Genomic DNA, 26,729 nt, shown 5'->3' with positions numbered 1-26,729 from the left:
TTATATAACTAGTAGAAGAGGGAGCTTAGATTCAAAACCTCACAGTCTAACTAGAACCCTTGCTTTCAACCCCTGGACTACCACCTTACAAGAGAAACCATTATCATCTTCCCTTTGTACAGTTTTTTATTAATAGTTAACCAAAAGCTTTCACAAGTGAGACTCAGAAAACTAGATCTAGTATAATGACAAGATACTTAGGTAGAAAGGTATTCATATCCCGTTACATAGTTTTAGGAAAAGATAAGCCAATAGAAAGAACTCCCAATCCTACACAATCTGTATCTCCTAATCCCAGAGCTCAGTGGATAATTCAGTTAATATCTATGTGCCATATGGGCAACTTGCCAGCTATATATTTAAAGAGAAACATGTCTCCACCTGAATGGCAACATTCCTGCAAACCACTCATTCCTTCAATAAATATGTGTTCAATTCCAGGTAAAGATGGGAGAGAGCAAAAGCAAATCTATTCCATTAGCATTCCTCAATATTAAAAGCAAAAATAGAAGGCAGGAGGAGCATGAAGGAAATGATTATGATCTCAAACCATTAACTAAAAAACATACTTGCCAAATCTGTTAAATTCTGGAGTGATACCAAGGAAGTCTGGTAGGCTTTGACCAGGAAACGGATTTCCCTAAACATAAAGATCACAGACCTGAAATGCAGACCCAACTATCCTTTGATTGGAAAGGCACTACCCAGGTGTGCGAATAAAACAAAGGAGTAGGGGACACTGTAGAGACCCGGAACAGCAGGAGGAGAAAAAAATAAAGAAAAAATAATATGACACATCCTTAGATTTAGGACACTCCTGGATATCGAAGGGTTATCTGCACTCCCATGTTTTTTGCAGCATTATTCACAATAGCCAAGATTTGGAAGCAACCTAAGTATCTATCAACAAACAAATGGATAAAGAAAATGTGGTACATATACACAATGGAGTACTATTTAGCCATAAAAAAGAATGAGTTCCTGTCATTTGCAACAAGATGGATGGAAATGGACGTCATTATGGTAAGTGAAATAAGCCAGCAACAGAAAGACAAACTTCACATGTTCTCACTCATTTGTGGAAGCTAAAAATTAAAACAACTGAACTCATGGAGACAGAAAGTAGAAGGATGATTATCAGAGGCTGGGAAGGGTAGTGGAGGGTGATTATAGTAAAAAATAGTTTAACTGTACATTAAAAATAACTAAAAGAGTACAACTGGATTGTTTGTAACACAAAAGATAAATGCTTGAGATGAAAGATACCCCATCCACCCTGATGTGATTATTACACATTGCATGCCTATATCAAAATATCTGATGTAATCCATAAATACATACACTTACTAGGTACCCACAAAAATTAAAAATAAAAGACTACCTGAAAATGTATCACAGACCTAAAAGTAAAACCCAAAACTATAAAACTAGAAGCAAAGAGGTGTGACCTTGGGTTAGGCAAATATTTCTTAGATATAGCAAAAGCACAATCTACGAAAGAAAAAATGATAAATTAGAATTCAAACTTTAAAACTTTTGCTCAAGGAAATGTGAATTATATCTCAATAAAAGTATTAAAGAGAGAAAGAGGATGCTAAAAAATGAAAATACAAGCCACAGGCTGGGAGAAAGTATTTCTAAATCATATACCTAAAAGGACTTATGGCCGGGCATGGTGGCTCATGCCTGTAATCCTAGCACCTTGGGAGGCTGAGGCAGGCAGATTACTTGAGGTCAGGAGTTCGAAACCAGCCTGGCTAACATGATGAAACTCCATCTCTACTAAAACTAAAACTAGAAATAAATTAGCCAGGCATGGTGGTGGCCACCTGTAATCCCAGCTACTTGGGAGGCTGAGGCAGGAGAATCGCTTGAACTCAGGAGGAGGAGGCTGTAGTGAGCCAAGATTGCACCATTGAACTCCAGCCTGGGAAACAAGAGCAAAACTCTGTCGCAAAATAAAATAAAATAAAAAAAAAATAAAAGCACTTATATCCCAAACATATAAGGAACTCTTACAACCCAATAATTAAAAGCTCAATTAAAAACAAGATTTGAACAGACAATCCACAAAAGAAGTATGGATGATAAAACAGGCACATGAAAATATGTTAAACATTTTTAGTCATCAGATGAAATGCAAATAAAAACTACAATATGATACCATCACACACACAGTAAAATGGCTAAAATTAAAAAGACTGACAAAACCAACTATTAATGAAGTTGTGCAGCAACTGGAATGTTGCTAATGGGAATGTAACACAATACAGTCACCTGGAAAAACAGTCTGGCAATTTCTTAAAGAGTTAAAATATATACCTACCATATAATCCAGCCATTCCACTCCTGGGTGTTTACCTAAGAGATGAAAGCTTATGTACACACAAAAACTTGTACATGAATGTCCAAAGCAAACTTATTCCTAATAGTCTAAAACTTGAAACAACCCAAATGCCCATCAACAGCTGAATGGATAAACTGTGGTATATCCACACAATGGGATATCATTCAGCAATAAAAAGAAATGAACTACTGATACACAGGAATACAGACAAATCTCAAAATAATTATGCAGAGTAAAAGAGACCACATAAGAAAAGCACAAACTATGTGAGTTCACTTACAAAAAGACATGCAAATTAATCTATAATGACAAGAAAGAAAGCAAGAAAATTCAAACTACTCTATAAGGACCAAAGACAAGTCAATGGGTACACCTGGGGATAGGTGAGGAGGGGTGGAGGGACGGAGAAATTATGAAAATGCACAAGGAAACCTTTGGGGTGAATATGTTTATTTTCTCAATTGTGGTGATAGTTTCCTAATCGTGTATATACATCAAAACCTATCAAATTATACTCTAACCATAGGCAGTTTATTATACACCAATTACATTTCAATAAAACTGTTAAAACTCTCAAGAAGCCTAATGTTTAAATGAAACAAAACTACCAGTAAACGTTATGTTATACCTTACGAAATATCTTTTAAGCAAAAGACTCAATGGTCTGAATATTTTCTACTCACTGTAAATTTACAGCATTTGAGACTATACAGTGACACATAAACAAAAAAGAAACTTTGCTGCTTTTTTTCTTTGCTTATATGGAATGCTTTAGTAAACTACTTTCAAATAGAACACTGGGTAAACAAACCTATGGTTAGCAAGTTCTATACTACCAATAATTTTGTATGGGGGAATTCCAGCAAACTTCAGATTACTTGACTACACTTGATTGTTTCGTAGGTGTTCTTCTTTTTAAGATTCTTACACTTAGTTCCTTAAAGGATCACTGTAATAGAAAGATTAATAATTTTGGCCCCCAGGGAATCTTTTGGTGTTAAGAATTATGAAGTTACTTATATATTTTGCCAATGTACTATACAAGTCTATTATTCCTATTCATTCATTCAAAAAATTAGTTTATAACTGCATACTATGTAGCCAGGCTCTAGTCTAGGTCCTCGTGACATATTTGGGGGAAGGGAAGAAGGAAGATGACAGACAGTAATAATCTTAATAAATAAATGTATATTGTATGTAATATGTTAGAAGATGATATGCACTCTATCACCCTCCCCCCCCACCACACACAATCCAACATGTACAGCACATTATGAAGGATGAGTAATGGAAACTAAATATAATAAAAACACTAAAGTAATGAGAATTGTTTCCATAGACCATATGTGAAAATCTCTTACACTGAATAGAATCATGAACCAAGGTTGCCTAGTCCAACCCTCACACTTTACAGACGATGTTAAATGATTTGCTCAATCACTCAGTTCTTGGCATAGATTAAAGATTAGGATCCCTATCTCCTTTTCACTCATGGCATCACTATTTGTGATGTCAAATAATCATGATAAAATGCTTTAATCTACTCATATACAAACAGTGGAAAGAGCTTTAGAGTCTGACTGACCCAGGCTTCATCACTTCATGGCTTTGTTACTTATGGTAAATCACTTAATCTCTCAAAATGTAAATTTTCTCATCTATAAAAGAGAATGACAATTTTTGTTTGCTTGTTTGGACTAATGTGCATAGGATAACAAGAATGACAATAATTTCGTGACTAGGTTGTTATGAGGATTAAATGTAGTAGCTTATGTAAAACACCTACATGTCAGTACATAAATATATAACACTGCAATACTTATATGCTTGCACCAAAAATGGTACATCATATGCATGAGTTTTTTATATCCTTTACTAGACTATAAACCTGATATACATCTAAAGAACCTAGCATAATGTAAATGCTCAGTAAGAATTTGTTAATTTGTTAATACTTCTGAGGAGTCAAACAGCTTTCAAAATGTGGCAAACAGTATGATAACTCATATCACCATGATGGAAATAATCAACTTAACTGAAAGCTCCATAGTACGCTTCAACATGTTTTCAGTCTGTCTTTCCTAAATAGAGAAGTCTGTAGCACTTAAATGCTTTTTAATGTCATAAATTAGGGTCCTAGCTCTTTCTGTCCACAAGAAAATAATTCTCACTATGAAAAATACTTTCAAGAGAAAACCAAAAATATCTTCAGCATTTTATATTACTTCTTTTCACATTCATCCCTTGGTTCCTGTATTTACAGCTATAATTGGAAAGAAAAAGAAAGCAGAATGCAATTCCAGTGCCATCACAGCAACTCGGCAGCTTCTTCAAATTTATAATCAACATTTCAGCTGACAAGAGCAAAAATACCACAAACTGAACAAAGGATAAAATAATTCAAGTTGATAAGATTGGTGCCATGGATACCACCTTTTCCAATGATTATATATTTCAATTTAGTTTCCAATGCAAAAACAGGAAGGTTACTCTGTAAAAACACTCCCTTCCCCCACTGTAATATTAATCCCCACCCCCTATATCCCATCCATGGTCTCTTGGGTATCAAAGGGAAACAACCATCCTGAAGCATGAGATAATTAAATCACAATTCACAGAATAATACGTCAAAGTCTCTAAGATTCAAGAGAGGTTATGCCAATTCAGTTCTAAAAAGGTAACATAAGAATGCTGCATCCTATTCTTTTGAATAAAGATATCCTTGCAATGCTGGATGTAAAAACCTTTGTTCTAAAGCTAAGCAATTAAGGCACGGGTTTTCAAAACTAGGAATTTTCTTCCTTAGGTCAAATTAGGTTTTTTAAAACATGATAAAAATCCTAAAAGCTGTTGTGAGAAATAATAATGAACAATGTAAAAATATCCTTTTCCTTTCTATTTTATTCCTGTTAACAGGTACATCCCTTTCACTGAAGCTATTTTTCTACCATTTTGCTCCATTTTATACACGACCCAGAAAACAAAGACTGCAGTAGATTACCTGGATCACCGGACAAATCAGCAGACAAGCAAAAGCTCAAAAGGCTCGTTTCCATGGAGTAGAAGAAAATGAAATCCTCACCAAAATACCACTCCCTTAGCAATCCTAAGCTTTTTCTTTATATATACATTCGACATCCTTGGAAAGGCATTTGTCAGATGATTTTACTGACCACAAGAGGGATGATAAGAAGAAACCCCACCTCTTCTCCCACCCCCAATCATCTACCATCATCATTCGAAGCCCAACACTGCGCTGCTAATGGAAAGACAGAGAACAGCATCCATATACATTTCCCTAGAATATCACTCAGGAAAATATATATAATATAAAGAAAGCAAGGATTTGGCTGATAATTCTCTAGCAGAACAGGCCAAATACCTCTCATAAAATTAAAAATACTTGCAAAAAAGATCCAATTATAAAGCCACAAAAAAACCCTAATTTTCTTCTTGAGTACAGCATGATTTTTAAATTGGGAATTTCCCAAATACAGTGCCAAAAAATGGAGTCCCTCAAATACCTTAAAATTCGGTTGTTGTTACTGCTCCTTTTCCTAAAGCCAGATAAACCAAATAAGTTAGGATTTACAAAAAAAAAAAAAAAAATCTCCTTTTGTTGCTAGTATTACCCCTTCAAAGAGAATCTGGGACAGGAGGTGGGAGTAGAGGAGAAACAGATTTAAACATGGGGGGAGGAAAAATATTTTCTGCCCCAATAAGCCTAATTAAATCTGTAAGCAAGACTGGGAGGATTGAAATTTCTTCATGCTACTCTGTCTGTTTGTGTTTGATTATTGTGAATCTTCCCAGGTCTCAAACTATGCCCTAGGCATTATGTCTGGCATTCTGTTAACTAGCAGCCTGGCCTCTTACAGTAGAATGAGGGAGGAACAAGAGACAAACTCATGCAATCTAATCCCTAGAAGCCATGTAATTTTGCGAAAATAATTTGCCTCAAACACTGCTCTAAAAAATGCATTGCTATACTAAGAAGACTCAGCCTCTACTTTCCTTTTCTGAAGCATCAACCCAACTTGACAATTTGCAGGCACACAATTTCTGGGATCAATATATAAGTAACGAATGAAAAACATGTTGTTTTACAAAACATATTCCTTAAAACATTTGAATACATCTAATTTTAAGTTAAATCCCAGTAATCACTCTATCCACATAAATTATAGCTCAAGGTTCTGTGAATTTTGAAGGAAATCACAGAACCTCAAAACTACAGTTAGTGATCTATGAAGAATCAGCTTTCAGAGAACATATACCTTGGCAAAGGCAGTCGCCTTGTAAGTAGTTACTAAAGAAGTAGTTACTGATTAAGAAAATAGTCTAGATTTGCTAAAAACAAATCAGACTAGGCTACTGACTGTGGCTATCATTAGACTTCCTCCACCTATACCGAGGTCTCAGTTTCTCTGATGCTTGGCACTTTCTGACCAGCCCAAGTATCCTAAGAAACACGAAGCTACCCATATGTCAAAGCCTGTGTTGGCTGATGAGGCAATTTCTCACACAGGACAGCTTAGAACTTGAAGCCAACTAATTTCATGTCTCAACATCTCTATCATCCTAGATCACCAAACAAAACTTTAGTCATCCATTAATCATGTGACATATCTAACAAAATCTTCCACTGTTCCCCTCTCTATCAAACTTTTTCACTGTGTACTCTAGGACAGGGGTCTCCAACTCCTGGGCCACAGACAATACTGGTCCATGATCTGTTAGGAACCAGGCCACACAGCAGGAGGTGAGCAAGTGAAGCTTCAGCTGTATTTACAGCTGCTCCCCATCACTCGCATTACCACCTGAGCCCCACTTCTGTCAGATCAGTGGCAGCATTAGATGCTCAGAGGAGCAGGAACCCTATAGCGAACTGCACATGAGAGGGATCTAGGTTGCACACTCCTTATGAAAATCTAATGCTTGATGATCTGTCATTGTTTCCCATCACCCACAGATGGGACCGTCAAGTTGCAAGAAAACAAACTCAGGGTTCCCACTGATTCTACATTATGGTGAGTATATAATTATTTCATTATACATTACAATGTAATAATAATGAAAATAAGGTAGACAATAAATGTAATGTGCTTGAATCACCCTGAAACCATCCCACTACTGCCCTCCCCCGAACACCCTCCCAGTCCCATTGAAAAACTGTCTACAACAAAACCGGTCCCTGGTGCCAAAAAAGTTGGGGACCACTGCTCTAGGACTCTTGCTACAAGAAACCAAACACCACTACACTCTTAACTTCTTCACAGAATGCACTCCAAACGCTGCCTTCACCAACACCTGGCTCTCCCCCAAAGACACTGTTTCTCTTTTTTTTTTGAGACGGAGTCTGGCTCTGTCGCCCAGGCTGGAGTGCAGTGGTGCGATCTCCGCTCACTGCAAGCTCCGCCTCCTGGGTTCGCGCCATTCCCCTGCCTCAGCCTCCCAAGCAGCTGGGACCACAGGCGCCCGCCACCACGCCTGGCTAATTTTTTGTATTTTTAGTAGAAATGGGGTTTCACCATGTTAGCCAGGATGGTCTCAATCTCCTGACCTCGTGATCTGCCCACCTCGGCCCCCAAAGTGCTGGGATTACAGGCGTGAACCGCCTCGCCCGGCCCCCTTACTGCCTTTCCTAATGGAAGCCACCCCTTATTCCAAACCCCAATGCTTTCAGAGCCCAGAAGAAATTTACAATTTTCTTAATTTTTCTGAATATCCAAATAACCAATGCACATATAAAAAGGTGCTCAACTTTAAGGAAATGTAAATTAAAACCACAATGAGAGAGAGAGAGAAATAGAATGAATGAATACATACAGTACTCATGAAGACATTAAGCACCTAGAAACTACATCCGCTGATCAGACTATAAATTGGTACAATCACTCCAGAAAATTACTTGGTACAATCAGCTAAAGCTGTACCAGCGAATTCCACAACTAGGCAGAAATGTATATGTATGTTCACAAAAATACATGTCTGTGAAGGTTCCTAAACAGCACTGTTAGTAACAGTCCCAAACTAGAGCTATCTAAATGTCCATCTGCAGTAGAATGGATTTTTAAAACTGTAGTTTATTCACACATTAGAATATTAATCAATAATGCAAATGAATTATGACCACTCAAAATATACAGATAAATGTCATAAACAATTCAAAAGAAAGATGCTAGATTAAAAAGGAGCACATACTGCACAACTCCATTTCTATAAAGAACAAAAGCAGTCGAAAGTTAAACACAGAGTTACCATACGACCTACAATCATACTCTTAGGTATTTACACAAGGGACTTGAAAACTTATATCCATGCAAAAACCTGGCCATGGACATTTACAGCAGCTTTACTCCTAATGCCAAAAACTGAAAGTAACTACAATGGCCTTTAATGGGGGAATGAAAAAACAAATTATGATTCATCCACACAATGGAATAGTACAACAATTTTTAAAACAAATGAACTATTAATTTACACAACATGGATGAATCTTAAATACATTTTACTACATGAAAGAAGCCCGATACAATCTTTGGATTTTTCATGTATTTTACTACATGGAAAAATCCAAAGACTGTATCATTCCATTTATACAACACTCTGGAAAATGCAAAAGTAGAGACACAGAAAATAAATTAGTAGTTGCTAGGGACTAGAGGAGAGGAGAGTGTTTGACTACAAACGGGATGCACAGGGGGACATTTAGGGTGCAGGATCTGCGCTGTACATTAGGGTGGTGAATACATGACCCGTTGCATTTGTCTGAACCCACAGAATGGCACAGTACAAAGAGTGAACTTCAACAAATGTTAACCAAACAACAACCACTAACATCAACCAAAACGTCAGAGGATCCCAAGATGAAATGTGGATTGCGACAAATGAAACTAACTGCATTACAAATGTATGACATAACTTCACTGAAGGGGCGGTGAAAAAGGAGCTTACCTAACAAACTTTGGAACACGGTGTTTTGACTTGAAATTGTAAGGCTAATGACAAAAGAAACTGTACATAAATACTGTACTCATGGGGTATGGGGTAATAATTCTAAATTTGCTTTTCATGTGTACATAGGTTGAAAAAATAAGTGGATGGATAATGGGGTGGCTGGAGCCAGGTTTCTTATGGTCAGACAAGGAAGTCACAGATTAAAAAGGAGGACTAGAGTGAACCTTGTGGTAATGGATTATAATCAGAGACATCAATATCAACTCATGTTTAACTTAACATATATGCCAACTGATACATATAGAAACAATTAGAGATGTATGTGTATACATGGGTTAGTATTCACACAGATATTACCTAGCTCTGTCCCCTGAGAGGGCCTAAAAGCAACGATACTCCAATAGCAATGAGCACACCTAGTAACTACATTTTGGTTCCTAAATAAAAGGAATGCTAGTTCCTTCAAATGGCTGATTCTACAGCTGATGCAAAGAAAATACAAGATGAGCCTGGAGCATCTTCTAGTACCACGTCAGGAGATGTTCAAAAAACAAAAGGATAGGGGCATATGAAAGGGACATAAACAGTAACCGGAAAACCTTCCCAATAGCCAAAGTTGGAACAATTTAAGCAAAAGAAAAGAAACCTAGCATTAGAACTCAAAGTATAAAATAAACATACATGAGTCCATACTGATATAAATGACTGAATAAACAGATAAATGTGGGGAAAGATCCAAATCTTCCTTACAGAAGAATTTCAAACCATGTATGTAGATATCTCCCCCTTCCTAAAGTGTGGGTTGGACTTAGTAATGTGTTCCCAAAAAACAGAGTATAGTGAAGAAACCTAGCAAACACTATCTTAACCAAGTGGTCATGGTTAACATCACCAGTGATGCCACGTGGACATCATGCACCCCTGATGAGAGGAAAAGAGGATTCTTTCCAAAAACGCATAACCCAGTCTAATACCGAGCAACAGCAGCAAACGCAGACTGGGGGGCATTCTACAAAGTCCTCGGGGATGGCAAGGTCGTGACAAACAAGGAAAAACTGAGAAACTGTCACAAACCAAGAGACTGGGGAAACATGAAAACTACAGGCAATGTGGTATCCTAAATTTGATCCTAGAACAGAAAGAGGCCATTAATGAAAAAGCTGGAAAAATCCAAATGAAGTATGAAGTTTAGTTAACAGTATGTACTAAGGTTGGTTTCTTAGTTTTCACAGATATACCACAATAATGTAAGATGTCAGCAATCAGGAAAACTAGGTGTAGGGTATATGGGAACTCTACGTGAATTTTCTGTGTTATTTATGCAACTTTTCTCTAAATAAAAAATTAATCCAAAAAAAGTTTAAGGATTAGTCTATGGTACTAGAAGTCAGAATAGTGGGTACTCTCAGGGGGCAGTGAATTTAATTGCTGGTTGAAAACATTTCCACAAAGAAAACTCACTTCACTGGTGAATTATCACAAGCATTTAAAGGAAGAGATAACAATTCTACATCTGACAAATGAAAGTGAAAACACATGACACTTCCCAAAAAATTTTCTGAGGCCAACACTGTCTCAGTATCAAAACAAGGCAATGACATTACAAGAAAACTAAACACAAATATCCCTTAGGAACAAAGGAACAAGAACAATCATCAAAATATTAGTAAACCAAATCTATCAATAAATAAAAAGAATAATACATAATACATAATAAAGAGACCATTAGGATAAACCAAATGGGGTTTATCCTAAGAATGCCAGGTAGGTTTAACACTCAAAAATCAATGTAATTCACTGTATCACCAGTCTAAGAAAGAAAAGCCTCAGATGAAAATACCTCCTGGCAAGTCAAAAAAAAGAAAGAAAACAGAAAAGCCATATGATCATCTAAACAGATACAGAAACAGCATATGACTAAATTCAATATCTGTTAATTATAAAATTTCTTACAAGCTAGGAATAGAAGGTAACTTCCCCAAACTGATAGAGTATGGAAAAAAAAAAAATCGTACTTAATGGTAAAATACTGAATGCTTTCCATAAGATTGAGAACAATGAAAAGATGTCTACATGTCTGCTTTCACCACTTCTTTTAACATTTCAGCCAAATGAGTAAGACAGTGAAAATAAATATATAAAAGGCTTACATCTTTTAAATGAAAGTAAAACTTTTTAATAACATGACATTATGGAAAACTCCAGAGATCTATATAAAAAAAGCACCAAAAAGCAAGTTTAGTAACAGTATGTAAGATGAACATAGAAAAATCAATTGTATTTCTATATATTATTAATAAAGAATTAAAAATTAATTTTAAATGCTATTTATAACCTCAAAACACATAAACTTAACAAACCATGTGCAAACCCTGTATGCTGAAAACTATGTAATGTTTATAGAGAAATTAAAGAAGACTACTAAATTAATGGAGAGAAAGATTATGCCAATGGATTGGGAGACCTAATTTAAGATGTCAATTCTCCACATTCTGATCCAGATTCAACACAACCACAAAATCTCAGCCTGTTTTCTGTAAATAGAAATTGACATGCTGACTCTAACATTCATATGGAAATGCAAAGATCTAGAAGAGCCAAAACAATTTTTAGGAAAACAACAAAATTGGAAGACTTATATTACCTTATTTAAAGACTTAAAGCTAAGGTAATAAATCAATCAATATGTTCAGGCATATTGATCAACAGAACATAATAAAGAAACCATAAATACAACTATGCACAGACAGTCTATTAAGTTTTTAACACAGATGCCAAAGCAGTTCAACGGGAAAAGGACAGTCTTTTCTGCAAATGGTGCTGGAAAACATGCCAAAACACGCACAAACTTTAATCCTTACCTCACACCATATACAAATGTTAACTTGATATGAATCATAGGCCTAAACATAAGAGCTAAACTATACAACTTCTAGAAAAAATTAAGAGGACATTTTCTGCAACCTTGGGTTAAGTCAAGATATTTACGATAGGGACCAAGAAGCATGAATACAAAATAAAAAGTTGATAGACTGAACTTCATCAAAATTAATAACTTATGCTCTTTGAAAGACATTGTTAAGGAAATAAAAGGACAAGCCACAAACAGAAAGAAAAACATTTTCTAAATGTAACTGACAAAGGACCCATACCTTACCTCTCAATAAGACAAAGACAAGCCAACTTCTTAAAAGACTTGAACAGACACTTCACAAAAGAGAACAAAAGGTCAATAAGCAAATGAAAAGTCCTCAATATCATTCATCATTAGAGAAATGCAAATAAAAAGTAGAGTGAGATGCCATTCACACCCACTACAATGACTAAAATTAAAAAGACTGATACTACCAAGTGTTGATGAGGATGTAGAACAAGTAAAACTCTTCGACATTTCTAGTGGGAATGTAAAATGACAGAGGCACTTTGGAAAACAATTTGGCAGTTTCTTATAAAGTTAATCAAGGCCAGGTGTGGTGGCTCATGCCTGTAATCCCAGCACTTTGGGAGGGTGAGGTGGGAGGATCCCTAACCAAGGCTGATCCAAGACCAGCCTGGACAACATAGTGAGACCCCATCTCTAAAAAAATAAATAAAAGAATTTTTTAAAAGTTAATATATATTTACCATATGACTCAGCAATTCTACTCTGAGATGTTTACCAAAGAGAAAGAAAAATATATGCCACACAAAAACTTACAGGAAAATGTTCAGATTTATTCAAAATAGCCAAAAACTGGAAACAATCCAAACCTCCACCAACAGGTCAATGGATAAAGAAACTGACTTATTCACACAATGTAATACTATTATGGTAAGAAAAAGGAACAAACTACCATTATATGAAACAATTTGGATGCATCTGAAAAGTATTAAGCCTAAAAAAAGAGAAGAAAGGCTGGGCATAGTGGCTCATGCCTGTAATCCCAGCACTTCGCAGGGGTCAGGGCACTTGAGCCCAGGAGTTTGAGGCCAGCCTGGGCAACACAGAAAGACCCCATCTCTACAAAATACTAAAAAATTAGCTAGGTGTGGTGCTGTGCACCTGTGTGGTCTCAGCTACTTGGGAGCATGAGGTGGGAGGATCACTTGAGCCCAGGATATTAAGCCTGAAGTGAACTGTGTTTGCGCCACTGTACTCCAGCCAGCCTGGGAAACAGAGACTGTCTTTAAAAAAAAAAAGAGACAGAGAAGACAGACACAGAAAGATTACATACTGTACATGATTTCATTTACATGAAGTAGAAAAGGCAAAACTATTGTGACAGAAAGCAGAGACAATTTTTTGGGGTGATGGAAATGTTATATATCTTAACTATGCTGGTTGTGGTGGTTAAAAAGTATACACACTTGTCAAAGCTCATCGAAGTACACACTTAAAATGAGTGAACTTAAGGAAGTCAGTATATCAAAGAGGCCTGCACTCCTATCTTTATTGATGCACTATTCACAATAGCCAAGATTTGGAAACAACCTAAGTGTCTATCAACAGACAAATGGATAAAGAAAATGCGGTACATATACACAATGGAGTATTATTCAGCTATATAAAACAATGAGATCCCGTCACTTGCCACAATATAAATAGAACTGAAGGTCATTATGTTAAGTGAAATAGGCCAGACACCGAAAGACAAACTTCACATGCTCTCATTCATTTGTGGGAGCTAAAAATTAAAACATCTGAACTCACGGAGATAGAAAGATGTTTACCAGAGGCTGGGAAGGGTAGTGGGGGGTTGGGGAAGTTGGGATTGTTAAAGGATACAAAAATATAGTTCGATAGAATAAGATCTAGTATTTGATATAACAGAGTGATTACAGTCAACCATAATTTATTGTACATTTAAAAATAACTAGAAGAGTATAATTGGAATGTTTGTAACATAAAGAAAGAATAAATGCTTGAGGTAATAGATACCCCATTTACCTTAGTGTGATTATCATGCATTGTATCCCTGTCTCAAAATATTGCATGTAATCCATAAATATAAATACTTATGCCCATAAAAATTAACAATAATATAATGGTGAATTTTATATGTAAATTATATCTCAGTCTATTTTTTAAAAGATAAAATGAAGGAAATAAGTCTCAGTGTCTAGAATTTAAATTGCAGATAAACTGACCAGGCTCTCTAACTTCCTACTTAAAATACGAACCTAAGTTGTTCCCTTAGATAAACAAAATCTTTAGAATTCGACAGGAAAGGAAAGCTTTATTTCAAAAATACAATTTGAAAATACAATCTGAACATTTAAAAAATCTAATTCTCAACTCTGAACACATTATTTGTAAAAAAAAAAATTTAACATTTCAATGAGCAGTATACCAATATGATGATTTATTTAATAACTAAAGCCCAAGCAATTACCAGAGCAATTAACCTAACTAGGATATGCCTACCAGAACATTCCAATACTTTACACTGGAGAAATCTGATAAACATTATTTTGGTGATCAAGGTCATCATCAATAGTCACATATCATGTTAGCGGTAAGTACCCTTGGCATGAGTTGATGAAGATGTCACTTTACCTCTGTGATCTTCCTTCCAACAACCCATACTCCAGTCAAATCGTAAGAAAAACATCAAGCAAATTCTAATATAGGGGCATCCTACAAGAAACCTGACCAGTACTCATTTGAACTGTCAAAACCATCAAGAACAAGAAAAATCTGAGAAACTGTCACAGCCAAGAGGAGGCTAAGGAACATGACAAACTAAATATAATGTGGTTTCTGAGGAAAGAAAAAGAACAATAGGTAAAAACTAAGGAAATCTGAATAAACTACAGACTTTAATTAATATTAATGTTAACACTGGTTCAGTAACAAATGTACCACACAAATGTAATATGTTAATAATAGGGGACTCTGAGCATGCCTATGGGGTATATGTTATTTTCTAGCTTCTCATTTTCGGCAAATCTAGCCCTGTTCTCAAAAACAAACTTTTTATTTAAAAAAAAAAAAAAAGGCCACCCCATCAGAACTTGGAACACTACAGGTAAAGGAAAGTTGCAAAGGGGAAAGGAACAAAGAAAATAATTGTACGGGTGCTTTTTTTAAGAATATCATTACAGTGTTGGTAGAAAATATTGTAAAGCTCTTTTTTTTAACCATTTAATGGAAAAAGAGAAAACATAAAAGGAAAGGTCAAAAAGATGATCTAACACGGATGTTAAAAATACTTCCCAATGCTTATACAGCTGTACTGGTGTTCTGACGTCAATCTCAAGACTCCCATGGATTATACCAACAATTCACTCTTTGGTGTTTGCTGTTTAAGTTTCAAAGTAAAACCAGTTGTTAATGAATGTTCACAGTTTCCATGATAAGAAGACTCACTTTGCCTAAAACCTGAGACATACAGTGGCTAACTGTGGCAGGAGGAAGGGCAGAAAAAGAGAGGGTCATTCTGGGCATGTTTATTTGAGTTTAAATTAAGTCTTCTCTCTTAGCTCTTTGGACCATTCATCTACCCATTCTTTATTTTCACTGAGAAACTAAAGTGAAAATACCAATCTCGTTCATTTTGTTGACAAATCTGAAGATTTTGTGGGTAAAAGCAAATTACTAGTATACCCTTCTGAGAGTTGATATCCAAAAATTTATGAAATTTCAAAGTACAGAATACCTGTATACTGTATGGTAGATTTAATTTAATAGAGCTATGTTAGTAATTTGAATCATTAATATGTATGACTCAATGTAATGAATTAGTCATAAAAGCATAATCTTTGCTGTAACCATCATATACGTTTTTCACAATTTAAAAAGAAAAGTTTTTTAAAAATATTTATTTTTTTTCTATGTTTGCAAGTTCATGAGAACTGAGATCATTAAACTAAAATTCACGAGGTCAATTCTGCATACTGGAAGTTAACTTGTACTATGCTGTATTAGAGTAAAATCACTTTTATCACAACACATATTTAAAATCCGTAAGGCCATCTACCCCAGAGGAGATTGATTCTTAGCCTTGTAAACCTTTAAGGCCAAGAAGAAAAATCAGCTGGAGAGCTCAGTAGCTCAATGAAGCTGTTTTCATCAAATGTCGTAATGTTCACACACATATTTAGCCACAAACAGTAACCCAACTGTATTGCCAGAAGTACCCCCCTACTTTTTATAGGTGCTTAAATAAAAATGAATGAACGTTTCTTCTGTATCCCTGGATAAAATTTCCCCAGCAATGTCAAAACTGCTGAACTGTGAGATATCTTTAAAAAATTCTAACTAGGCAATTCCTTTTTATGAAAAAAAGCATATCTAAAAGTCATAACATCTCTCCTACACTAAACAATGGTTATACTCTGAAATGATCATAGGGAAAGGAAACAGGAGGAACCATGCTTGGTTAACCAGCCACTAGATGGAAAGACATTTAGCTATGGGTGTCCATAAAAATACATTTTTTGGCCGGGTGCGGTGGCTCACGCCTGTAATCCCAGCACTTTGGCAGGCCAAGGCGGGCGGATCACCTGAGGTCGGGAGTTCGAGCCCAACCTGACTAACACGGAGAAACCTTGTCTCTACTAAAAATACAAAATTAGCCGGGCGTGGTGGTGCATGCCTGTAATCCCAGCTACTCAGGAAGCTGAGGCAGGGGAATCACTTGAAACCTGGAGGCAGAGGTTGTGGTGAGCCGAGATCGCGCCATTGCACTCCAGCCCAGGCAACAAGAGCGAAACTCCGTCTCAAAAACAAAAACAAAAAATCCATTTTTCATATTTTAATTATTTTCTCAAAGTAGTTTCTTAAATTGCCACCATTATCAAGATAATAGTTGCTCCCTGAAGAGAATATGGGGGAAAAAAACATAGAAGGGGGAAAAAAACATAGAAAGGTGAAAAAAACCCAAAGTCCTACCATCCATCATTATTCTACTAGTTAAATAAATCATTATACAATTATATAATAGAATATCGTACCAATAATAGAAATACATTTCCAAGTTAGAAATACATTTCCTAACTAGATGTTAATTCATTCACCAAATATGTATTGAGCATCTATTATGTGCAGGCACTGTTCTAGGTGTTGGGAACACAGCAGTGGATAAAACAAACATCCCTCATTTCACTCTTTTGTGTTTTGCTGCCATAATATTATATAGAACATTGTAGAGAACAGAATGTTGTATAGCCACAGAACATAGGTACTCACATGGAAATAAAACATATTTTAAAAAGTATATTGTTAAATGAAAATGTCAAGCTACAAAACAGCACCTATGGGGTGATTTCATTTGTGTAAAGGAAGTTAATGGTGGCTACCTCAGGTAAATCATATTAAACAACTGGGAGAGGGGAGGGGCCTTGTCACTTTATATCTTATATGGTTGAAAAGGATTAATCTAAACTGTATTTTATTACTAAAGCTGGTAACAGGTCAGTGAAGGTTCATTAAGCTATTCTAATTTTTATCTATGTCAGAAATTTTATATAATGGTTATTTTAAAGCATTGTTATACTTAGAAAAAATTACTTCTAAGAAAAAATCTTGTTTCAGTTTAGATTATACTGGTAATACGGAATAGCTTTTTTCAACATTTATTATTAATAGCTTATTTTGTGCATTTATTTTTAATTCTAGGGGTAGGTTCCTCAGTTAGAGTGACCTTAAGCAGAAAATTATCAATAAGTTACAGTTTGATAATTTTTAAAAACTTCACATCTGAAGTCCTATGAAGTAGACATGATAAGAGATATTGGGGATAAAGAGACAAAAGCTAAGGTAGAGAAGCTATATAACTTTTCCAAGGTTGTTCAGCTAACAAATGGTAGAGCCTGGATCTGAACTCAGGCCTATCTTATCATAAATCCTGTCTGCTTTTTACAAAAAGTTGAAAAATTATAGGGAAAAAAAGCCCCATAAAAACTGAGCACCTGCCTTACCATATAAAAAATAAGCTTCAGTCTTCCATAAATACATCTTTCAAATGCAGAAAGTTAACCTAGGATTCCTTTGGTTACTTGCCTAGATGTATTTGAGAGCAGAACTGCATTATACAAAGCAAACTAGTTAATAACACACTGGTAGAAAGGCTTGTCAGAAAGAACTTTGTACTGGGCCAGTATATGACAGGGTATAGTGAAGCACAAATAACTACAATCCAGAGGCATTACATAATTTCAAGCCAATGTTAAAGATGGTATATCTATATTAGAACATATAAATATTTTGGTTCCTGAATTAAAAAAAAAAGATCAGAGGAGATCAGAGAGTAAACAGTTCTAATCAAACTCAGACTGCAGTGCTTAATAGTGTTAAGTAAAATAGAGATTGCTTTGGATTCATTTGTAACTAGAAGGCATTTTTACTGTACTAGTGGTTACCTTATAGTTACTATTACTTTATCTAATGTTCCCTTGGAAGTTTCAACATATTACCAAAAATTTTAGTATTCAAAAGTTCATATGTGTTAACACAAAAATGTTGAAAGCATCACTGCTCTAGGTTATAAACCAGCTCAGTGCCTGACAAATTAGATCATAAGCTATCTAAATAACCTTGGTTTAGTTTTTCCAAAGAAATCAGTTTTGGTGAGTGCTGCTTTCTGTTTTCCCCTCAGATTTTTAGTAACGGTCATTCAAAAAACCATTTGAAAAAGTGCTCTTTCACTTATGAAACTGTTGTAGCAGATATTGTTCCCAATATTGTCTTGAAACCTTGGTGGACAGTATTTTTTTAATTTAATGGGAGTAAAATTAGGTTTGTCTCAAAGGAGGAAATACATCCAACAATAGAACCAAATCATATTTACCTTATTCCCACAGAATCCTGAAAGCAGAGAGGCTTAATTACAATGGCTGTATTAGCCCTCATAATTATCATATTTGCACTGATCTCACTGTAATAACTTGATTTTCTATTTTTAACATCTTTAACTGAGGTGAGTGTATGTTTACGTGCCCTTTAAACCATTTCACATCCTTTTTTAGGAAGTGGGGTATAAGGGTTATAATCTTTAAGAGTCAAAATAATAAGTTTATGTATTAAGGTATTCTTCTTTAAAGACAGTTTTTTGTTTTTTGAGACGGAGGTTCGCTCTTGTTACCAGGCTGGAGTGCAGTGGCACGATCTCAGCTCACAGCAACCTCCACCTCCCGGGCTCAAGCAATTCTCCTGCCTCAGCCTCCCGAGTAGCTGGGATTACAGGCATGCGCCAGCACACCCAGCTAATTCTGTATTTTTAGGAGAGACAGGGTTTCTCCATGTTGGTCAGGCTGGTCTCAAACTCCCAACCTCAGGTGATCCGCCCGCCTCGGCCTCCCATATTGCTGGGATTACAGGCATGAGCCACCGCACCCAGCCCTAAAGATACAGTTTTAATAAATGTCTATACTTTTAGTTGGGGGAAATTGGCATTTTTTTCCCCTAGAAAGAACTCTTTTTAGCACTGAATTTTTAATTAGGAAAAAACCTCATGCACATATCTCACTTGATTCTGTGAGGTAGACAGTATAAAAGTAAATATTCTCCTTTTACAGATTAAGAGAATTAGGCTCAGAAAAGTTGACTTAATTATCATATAATTCTTGAAGGACGAAGCGGGGACTCATTTCCAGCAATTTTGACTCTAAGTTCCATATACTTTTCTCTATAACACACTACCTTAAATAGAACTGTCAGCCAAAACAATATAAAATTAAAAGGTGATAAGGGAGGGAAGGAGAGAGAAAAAAAAAATGAAAGGAGGTTGGAATGGGGGATGGGAAGGAAGAAACAGGAAGGAAAAGAATAAGTGAGGGAGGAGGAGAGGGAAAGAAAGAGACTGACCAACCATTCTAAAAGCAGAGAAAATCATAAAGTACCTAGAAATAAGCTTAGCCAAAAAAGTTTTAAGACTTTTGGATACAATTATAAATTACTATTGAAGACCATAAGGGAATATCTGGAATTTCTAAGGAAAAACCACGTTCATGTATAGGAAGACAATATCATAAATATGCCTATTTTCTCCAAACTAAACTAAATATTCAATGCAATTACAATGTTAAAAAAAAATAAAACTTTTAAGGGAACCTGACAAGCTGATCCCAAAATTCATATGGAAAAAGAAAAAGCTAAGAATAGCGATGAAAATTTTGAAGAAGAAAAACAAGGTAAGGAGATTTACTTTGCTTATGAAGCTAAAGTAATCTGAACAGTTTGGTGTCGGTACAGAAATAGTCAAACCAAGGGAAAAGATTAGAAAGCTCAGAAACAAACCTACAAATAATGGAAACATTATGTATGACAAGGATAGTGCTACCCATCAGTAGGGAAAAGACAGACTGCACAGTGAATGGGGCTAGACGACTGATTCTCCACATGAAAGAATAAAACTCAATCCCTACCTCATATCATATTCATAATATTTTATTAATATTCATTATTAATAGTAACAGTTATAATTAGTAATTTTTATTGATATTTTGTTAATAAACACATTGCTGAATATAGAACATGAATTCAAATGTTAGGAAGTTTAAAAATCTGCAAAAATTTCCATAATGTTTGAAGATACATAACATATAGCCAAAGTATAAAAACATGCATAGGAGCAACAAACACCAAGTTTACTATGATGTTTACTTCTGGAAAGGGGCAGAAGAGAACAGGATCGGGGGAAAATACCCAGGGGAGCCTCGACTTCATCTCTAATTTTTATTTGCTTGCCTCGTCCCCCAAAAAGATAACACTAAGTAGCAGGTACATGGATGTATATCATTTTCTTTTTACTTTATTGTGAAATATTCCAAGTATAAGACGAAAAAAGAAAATTTTAAAATCAGATGTTGCAGCTACATTGAGACTTCTGTGTAGTAACACTAAGAGCGCAAGCTTCTCAGGTGTTTTCCTTCTTTTAAATTTAGAATTAATTAGCTTAAAGAATAAAAATTCTTGTATACCCCAAAATAAACTACTTTTGTTGAAACTGCATTACTCCGATTAGTATCTATAAAATGATAAACATAATGATTAAATGGCTTATACCACCAGTTCACTGACTTTAACTCTTTAAAACTTACCAATAAGCACCAGTTCTGAAATAGCTCTCCTTTATCTCTGAAATGTATTATAAGTTTTCAATTAAAAACAAAAGATCTGGCCGAGTGGGATGGCTCATGCCTGTAATCCCAGCACTTTGGGAGGCCAAGGCAGGCAGATTACTTGAGGTCAGGAGTTCAAGACCAGCCTGGCCAACATGGTGAAACCCCGTCTCTACTAAACATATAAAAATTAGCCAGTTGTGCGGGTGTGCGCCTGTAGTCCCAGCTACTCGGGAGGCTGAGGTGGGAGAATTACTTGAACCCTGGAGGCAGAGGCTACAGTGAGCTGAGATCATGCCACTGCACTCCAGACTGGGGGACAGAGTAAGACCCTGTCACAGAAAAAAAAAAAAAAAAAAAGAAGAAAAGAAGATTTGAGAATATAGTACTTTAGTCAGCAGTCATGATAAAAGACGATGTTGTTATCATTGGAGACAGCCAGACACTAAGGACAAAACCAATTCTGTTTCAGCACCTAAAGAATGACCACCTATATTATAAATGCTGGCAAACAAAAATAATTTACAGGCTAGATGACATTTACTTATGAAATCTTTCTAGGGAACAATAGACACTGGGGCCTATTTGAGGGTGGAGGGTGAAAGGAGGGAGGGGGCAGAAAAAATAACTTTTGGGTACTAGGCTTAGTAACTGGGTGACAAAATAATCTGTACAACAAACCCCCATGACAAGAGTTTACTGATATAACAAACCTGCACATGTACCCCGAACCTAAAAGTTAAAAAATTAAAATTAAAATTAAAAAAATAAAATCTTTCTAAAAGGGAAACATACATAGAAAAAATGAGTTTTGGTATTGGTCAGACTGAGATTAAAACCTGGCACAAGCACTCAATGGATTGTGTGACCATAAGCAAATTTATGGAAAGTCACTGAACCTTAATTTCCTCACAAATAATTGTTAGGTATCTGCTTTATAGGAATGCTGTCAGGATTAAGTGAGGTTAAGTACACAGCCTGATACTCAGAACATACCAGGTAATAAACAAATGCCGATTCCCTTTAAATAAAAAGGCTACTCAGGTCAGGCATGGTGGCTCACGTCTGTAATCCCAGCACTTTGGGAGGCCAAGGTGGGAGGATCTCTTGAGGCCTGGAGTTTGAGACCAGCCTCGGCAACATAGGGAGACCCCCATCTCTATAAACGAATTAAAAAATTAGCCAGACATTGTAGCATGTGCCTGTAGTCCCAGCTACTAAGGATTTTAGTCAGTAGTCATGATATAAGATGATGTTGTTATCATGGAGATAGCTAGACAGTATGGACAATGAGGCGGGAGGATTGCTTGAGCCCAGGAGGTCCAGGCTGCAGTGAGCCAAGATCATGCCGCTGTGGCCCAGCCAAAGCAATAAGAGTGAGACCCTGTCTCAAAAAAAGAGGCCACTCAAATATAAGAATATTATCTTAAATTCCATATTAGTTTTCTTCTCTATCCCATAATGAAATCTTTCGGTCTTATTTTATCTTTTATTTATTTATTTTTGAGACGAGGTCTTGCTCTGTCACCCAGGCTGGGGTGCAGTGGCACGATCACAGCTCACTGCAGCTTCAACCTCCTCAACCTCCCAGGCTCAAGCAATCCTCCCAACTCAGCCTCTCAAACAGCTGGAACTACAGGTGTGTGCCACCACTCTCAGCCAATTTTGAAATTACTTTGTAGAGACAGGGTCTCACTACGTTGCCAGGGCTAGTCTCAAACACCTGACCTTAAGCAATCCTCCTGCCTCAGCCTCCCAAAGTGTTGGGATTACAGGCATGAACCACTGCACTCAGCTATTTTATCATTTAAACAGTATTCTAGGCTGGGCGTGGTGGCTCACGCCTGTAATCCCAGCACTTTGGGAGGCCAAGGTGGGCAGATCATGAGGTCAGGAGTTTGAGACCAGCCTGACCAACATGGTGAAACCCCATCTCTACTAAAAATACAAAAATTAGCCGGACATGGTGGCATGCGCCTGTAATCCCAGCTACTCAGAAGGCTAAGGCAGGAGAATCGCTTGAACCCAGGAGGCGGAGGTTGCAGTGAGCCAAGATCACACCACTGTACTCCAGCCTGGGCGACAGAGCGAGACTCCACCTCAAAAAAAAAAAAAAAAAAAAAAAAAAAAAAGGAAAAAGTATCCTAACAGATTTTTTTTATTATTAAAAGCATCTAAACAAGAGAAATTATTTTGTGCTGTCCTATAATCCTTAAAAATTCCGTTAACAAATTTCTCCCAAAACTATAAGAAAAATTTCAAAACTATTCACAAACCACAATTCTGAGATGTAAACAACAGAATCACAGATCTGCTCTTTCCTTCCCATGCTATGTGATCCCTACTTGAGTAAGCAAGCACCAAAAGAATCAGATGCAATAAGACTGTTGGACAGCAACTAAGCTTCTTAAAACTACTCAACCCTTCTTTGCCAGTGTAGCAGTGACTTATTAAATTTCTTTTTTTTTTTTAGATGGAGTCTCACTCTGTCACCCAGGCTGGAGTGCAGTGACACAATCTCGGCTCACTGCAACCTCCGCCTCTCAGGTTCAAGCAATTCTCCTGCCTCAGCCTCCCAAGTAGCTGGGATTGCAGGCGTGTGCCACCACGCCCAGCTAATTTTTTATATTTTTGGTAGAGATGGGGTTTCGCCATGTTAGCCAGGCTGGTCTTGAACTCCAGACCTCAAATGATCCGCCCACCTCGGCCTCTCAAAGTGCTGAGATTACAGGCGTGAGCCACCTCATCCAGCCTCTAATTATTTCTATCCACTGATGTTGGATGTTGTCATGTGATCTTGGAGTGGAGAAGATGGAAAAGTTCAAATTAAGAAATCTGAGTCAAGACGCTGGGGACAGACCATGGTCATGTTAATTTACCTGTTGCTCACAGCCAGAAAAAGAAAGAAATCAGCCAATACTTTTGTGGAAGAAAAAGGAACTCCATATTTGAATTGCAACAACAGATCACCCACTGTATTATTTTATTGCCCACAGCATGTCATGAAAAGATCAAAAAAATAACTTAAGGGCAGGGTTGGTGGCTCACGCCTGTAACCCCAGCACTTTGGGAGCCCAAGGTGGGAGGACTGCTTGGGGCCAGAAGTTGGAGACCAGCCTGGGCAACATAGTGAGACCCTGTCTCTACTAAATAATAATAAAGTAACTCTCCCAAAGCAGATAGTACATCTAAATTTAAATCAAATTTGGGTCCTCAAGGTTTTATTTTTTTGAGACAGGGTCTCACTCTGTCACCAAGCTGGAGTGCAATAGCACAATCATGGCTTACTGCAGCCTGATACTCCTGGGCTCAAGCAATCCTTCCACCTCAGCCTCCCAAACAGCTGGCCCCACAGGCATATGCCACCACATCCAGTAATTTTTTACTTACTGTAGAGACAGGGTCTTGTTATGTTGCCCAGGCTGGTGTCAAACTCCTGAACTCAGGCAATTCTCCCACCTTGGCCTTCCAAAGTGTTAAGATTACAGGTATGAGCCACCATGCCCAGCCTCTTTTCTGTTTTTAATGGAACCTTTTCTTCAAAGTCTTATAATGGAGAATTAGCTGGTAGGGTCATTTTCCTGTCTATTTTTTTGTTGGTGTTGGAAGTGTTAACAGGGATACATGCAATTTCTATAATTTGACCTAAAAATTATCCTTCCCTACTTGGGAGGTGCCCTTTTTCAACCAAGCTTATTGCTTCAGAAGTGGTGCAAATAAACTGGTTGGGGAGTCAGCTAATACTTATCAAGACAACCAGGTCTATCAACTGGCAATCCATAGGGTGACAGATGTCAGAAACATGTCTTCACAGACATATCATCTTTCTTCTTGTTAACCCTAACAAATTAGAAGTAGGATCTTTGGCAACATATAGAATTTAAAGAATTGAAGTATAAAAGGAATCTGAAGTTGTTAATGACCTCACTAAATTTAAACATTCCCCAAATAAGAATATTTTTTAAGAGCCAAACTTTCATCTCAAATGTATTACATTTAAACACCCAGAAACTTGGGAGTCATCCTGGATCCCTCTTTTTCCTTTATTCCTATGTCTTACTGATCACGATATTCCTCTCCAATCCTATCACCACTGCCCTAGTTCAGGAGCTTCTCATATCTCCCAGCAGTCTTTCATTTGCATTCCTAGTCTCAAGAATTATTCCTTCCAATCATCTATCAGCTTACCAGCACAGTTACCTTTCCATTAAAATAAAGATCAAATAAATAAATAAAAACTAAACAGAGGTTTCACTTAAAAACAAAAGTGTCTCTCATGACAAAGGCAATATATATATATACACATAGTTAAAAGCCTAGAAAACAACATATGAGTGTGAAGAATAAAACAAAATTCATCTATAATCTCACAACCCAGAAACACTTAAAAAGTAGTACATGCCAGGTTCAGTGGCTCGTGCCTATAATCCCACCATTTCGGGAGGCCAATGTGGGAGAATCACTTGAGTCCAGAAGTTCGAGACCAGCCTGGGCAACATAGTGAGAGCTTGTCTCTACACAAAATTAAAAAATTAGCTGAGCATGGTGGTGTGTGCCTGTAGTATCAGCTACTTGAGAGGCTGAGGCTACAGTGAGCTGTGATTGTGCCCACTGCACTCAAGCCTAGGCGACAAAGTGGGACTTGGCTCAAAAAAAAAAAAAAAAAAAATTGGTACATGTCCTAGAAGTCTTTTTAAAAGCATCACATGAATGTTTTTTAAAAATGTAACTGGCATTATATTTGAAGTTTTATCCCATACTTTTCACAGATCATGAACAATTTCCTCACTAAGGTTTACTTGAAAATGTCTTTAATGCTTACATATATTTTATCAAATGACATAAAGTAATTTATTAACAGCAGTCCCCTGGGAGTTCCTTGTCATCCCAGTTTCTAGGTCTACCTCTTCAGAGGCACCAGACTTACATTGGTTCCTCTTTGCCCCTACTAAAATAATGGTGTGGGTGATCTCTTTGTATAAAATGACAGCTAAAACTGTATATCCTTAATGTCTTGAGATATATACCAAAATTGGCATTACTAATTCAAAAAGTTTAAACATTTCTTAGGCTTTTGAACTATATTGTCAAATTATTTTCTGTAAGTTTAAACCAATTTACATGCCCACCTGCACAGTATAAGAAATTCTGCTTTACCACAACCCTCTTGTAGCAGTAGATCGTTTAAATTGCAATTAAAAAGAAAGATGAAGCTCCCAGCACAGCATGGGATGGGCTAAGGGATTTTTCTAAATTTTTTTTTGTTTGGTGCCCAAGATTTGGCCTTATACTACAGCACCATAACCCTTATTTAGATTTCAAATATTTACAGACTGACGATCTTCTTCCAGGTATTGGGAACAAAAAAGTGAGTAAGAGT

At 36.6% G+C, this 26,729-nt stretch overlaps 1 protein-coding gene across 19 annotated transcripts in view, besides 2 other annotated features; it reads right to left on the bottom strand.

Moving 5' to 3' along the window:
* The window catches only part of ARHGEF12 (Rho guanine nucleotide exchange factor 12), a 153,525-nt gene that overhangs the window by 99,103 nt on the left and 27,693 nt on the right, over positions 1-26,729 (bottom strand). For 3 of the 19 annotated variants that reach the window (XM_047426670.1, XM_047426664.1, XM_047426669.1), the window contains exon 1: positions 2,327-2,356. The exons of 15 other annotated variants lie outside the window; for them this stretch is intronic. The gene's annotated coding sequence lies outside the window, so the exon portion shown is untranslated. Of the gene's footprint in view, positions 1-2,326; positions 2,357-5,348; positions 5,509-26,729 lie in introns of those variants that run through there. One more of the 19 variants, NM_001301084.2, reaches the window with a different exon arrangement.
* Positions 12,077-12,221: an enhancer, noted in NCBI's record as "145 bp 11:120249395 sequence used in MPRA reporter constructs". NCBI's record gives its function as "activates a minimal TATA-containing promoter with rs11600723 allelic activity by MPRAs in UACC903 melanoma cells {active_cell/tissue: UACC903}" and the evidence as "EXISTENCE:reporter gene assay evidence [ECO:0000049][PMID:36423637]".
* Position 12,149: a transcriptional cis regulatory region, noted in NCBI's record as "rs11600723 or 11:120249395 MPRA-significant variant associated with a GWAS melanoma risk locus at 11q23.3". NCBI's record gives its function as "allelic transcriptional activity by MPRAs in UACC903 melanoma cells {active_cell/tissue: UACC903}" and the evidence as "EXISTENCE:reporter gene assay evidence [ECO:0000049][PMID:36423637]".

The sequence above is a fragment of the Homo sapiens genome, chromosome 11 (assembly GCF_000001405.40).
Source record: "Homo sapiens chromosome 11, GRCh38.p14 Primary Assembly".
Taxonomy (NCBI): domain Eukaryota; kingdom Metazoa; phylum Chordata; class Mammalia; order Primates; family Hominidae; genus Homo; species Homo sapiens.
This window is presented reverse-complemented; position numbering and strand designations above follow the sequence as displayed.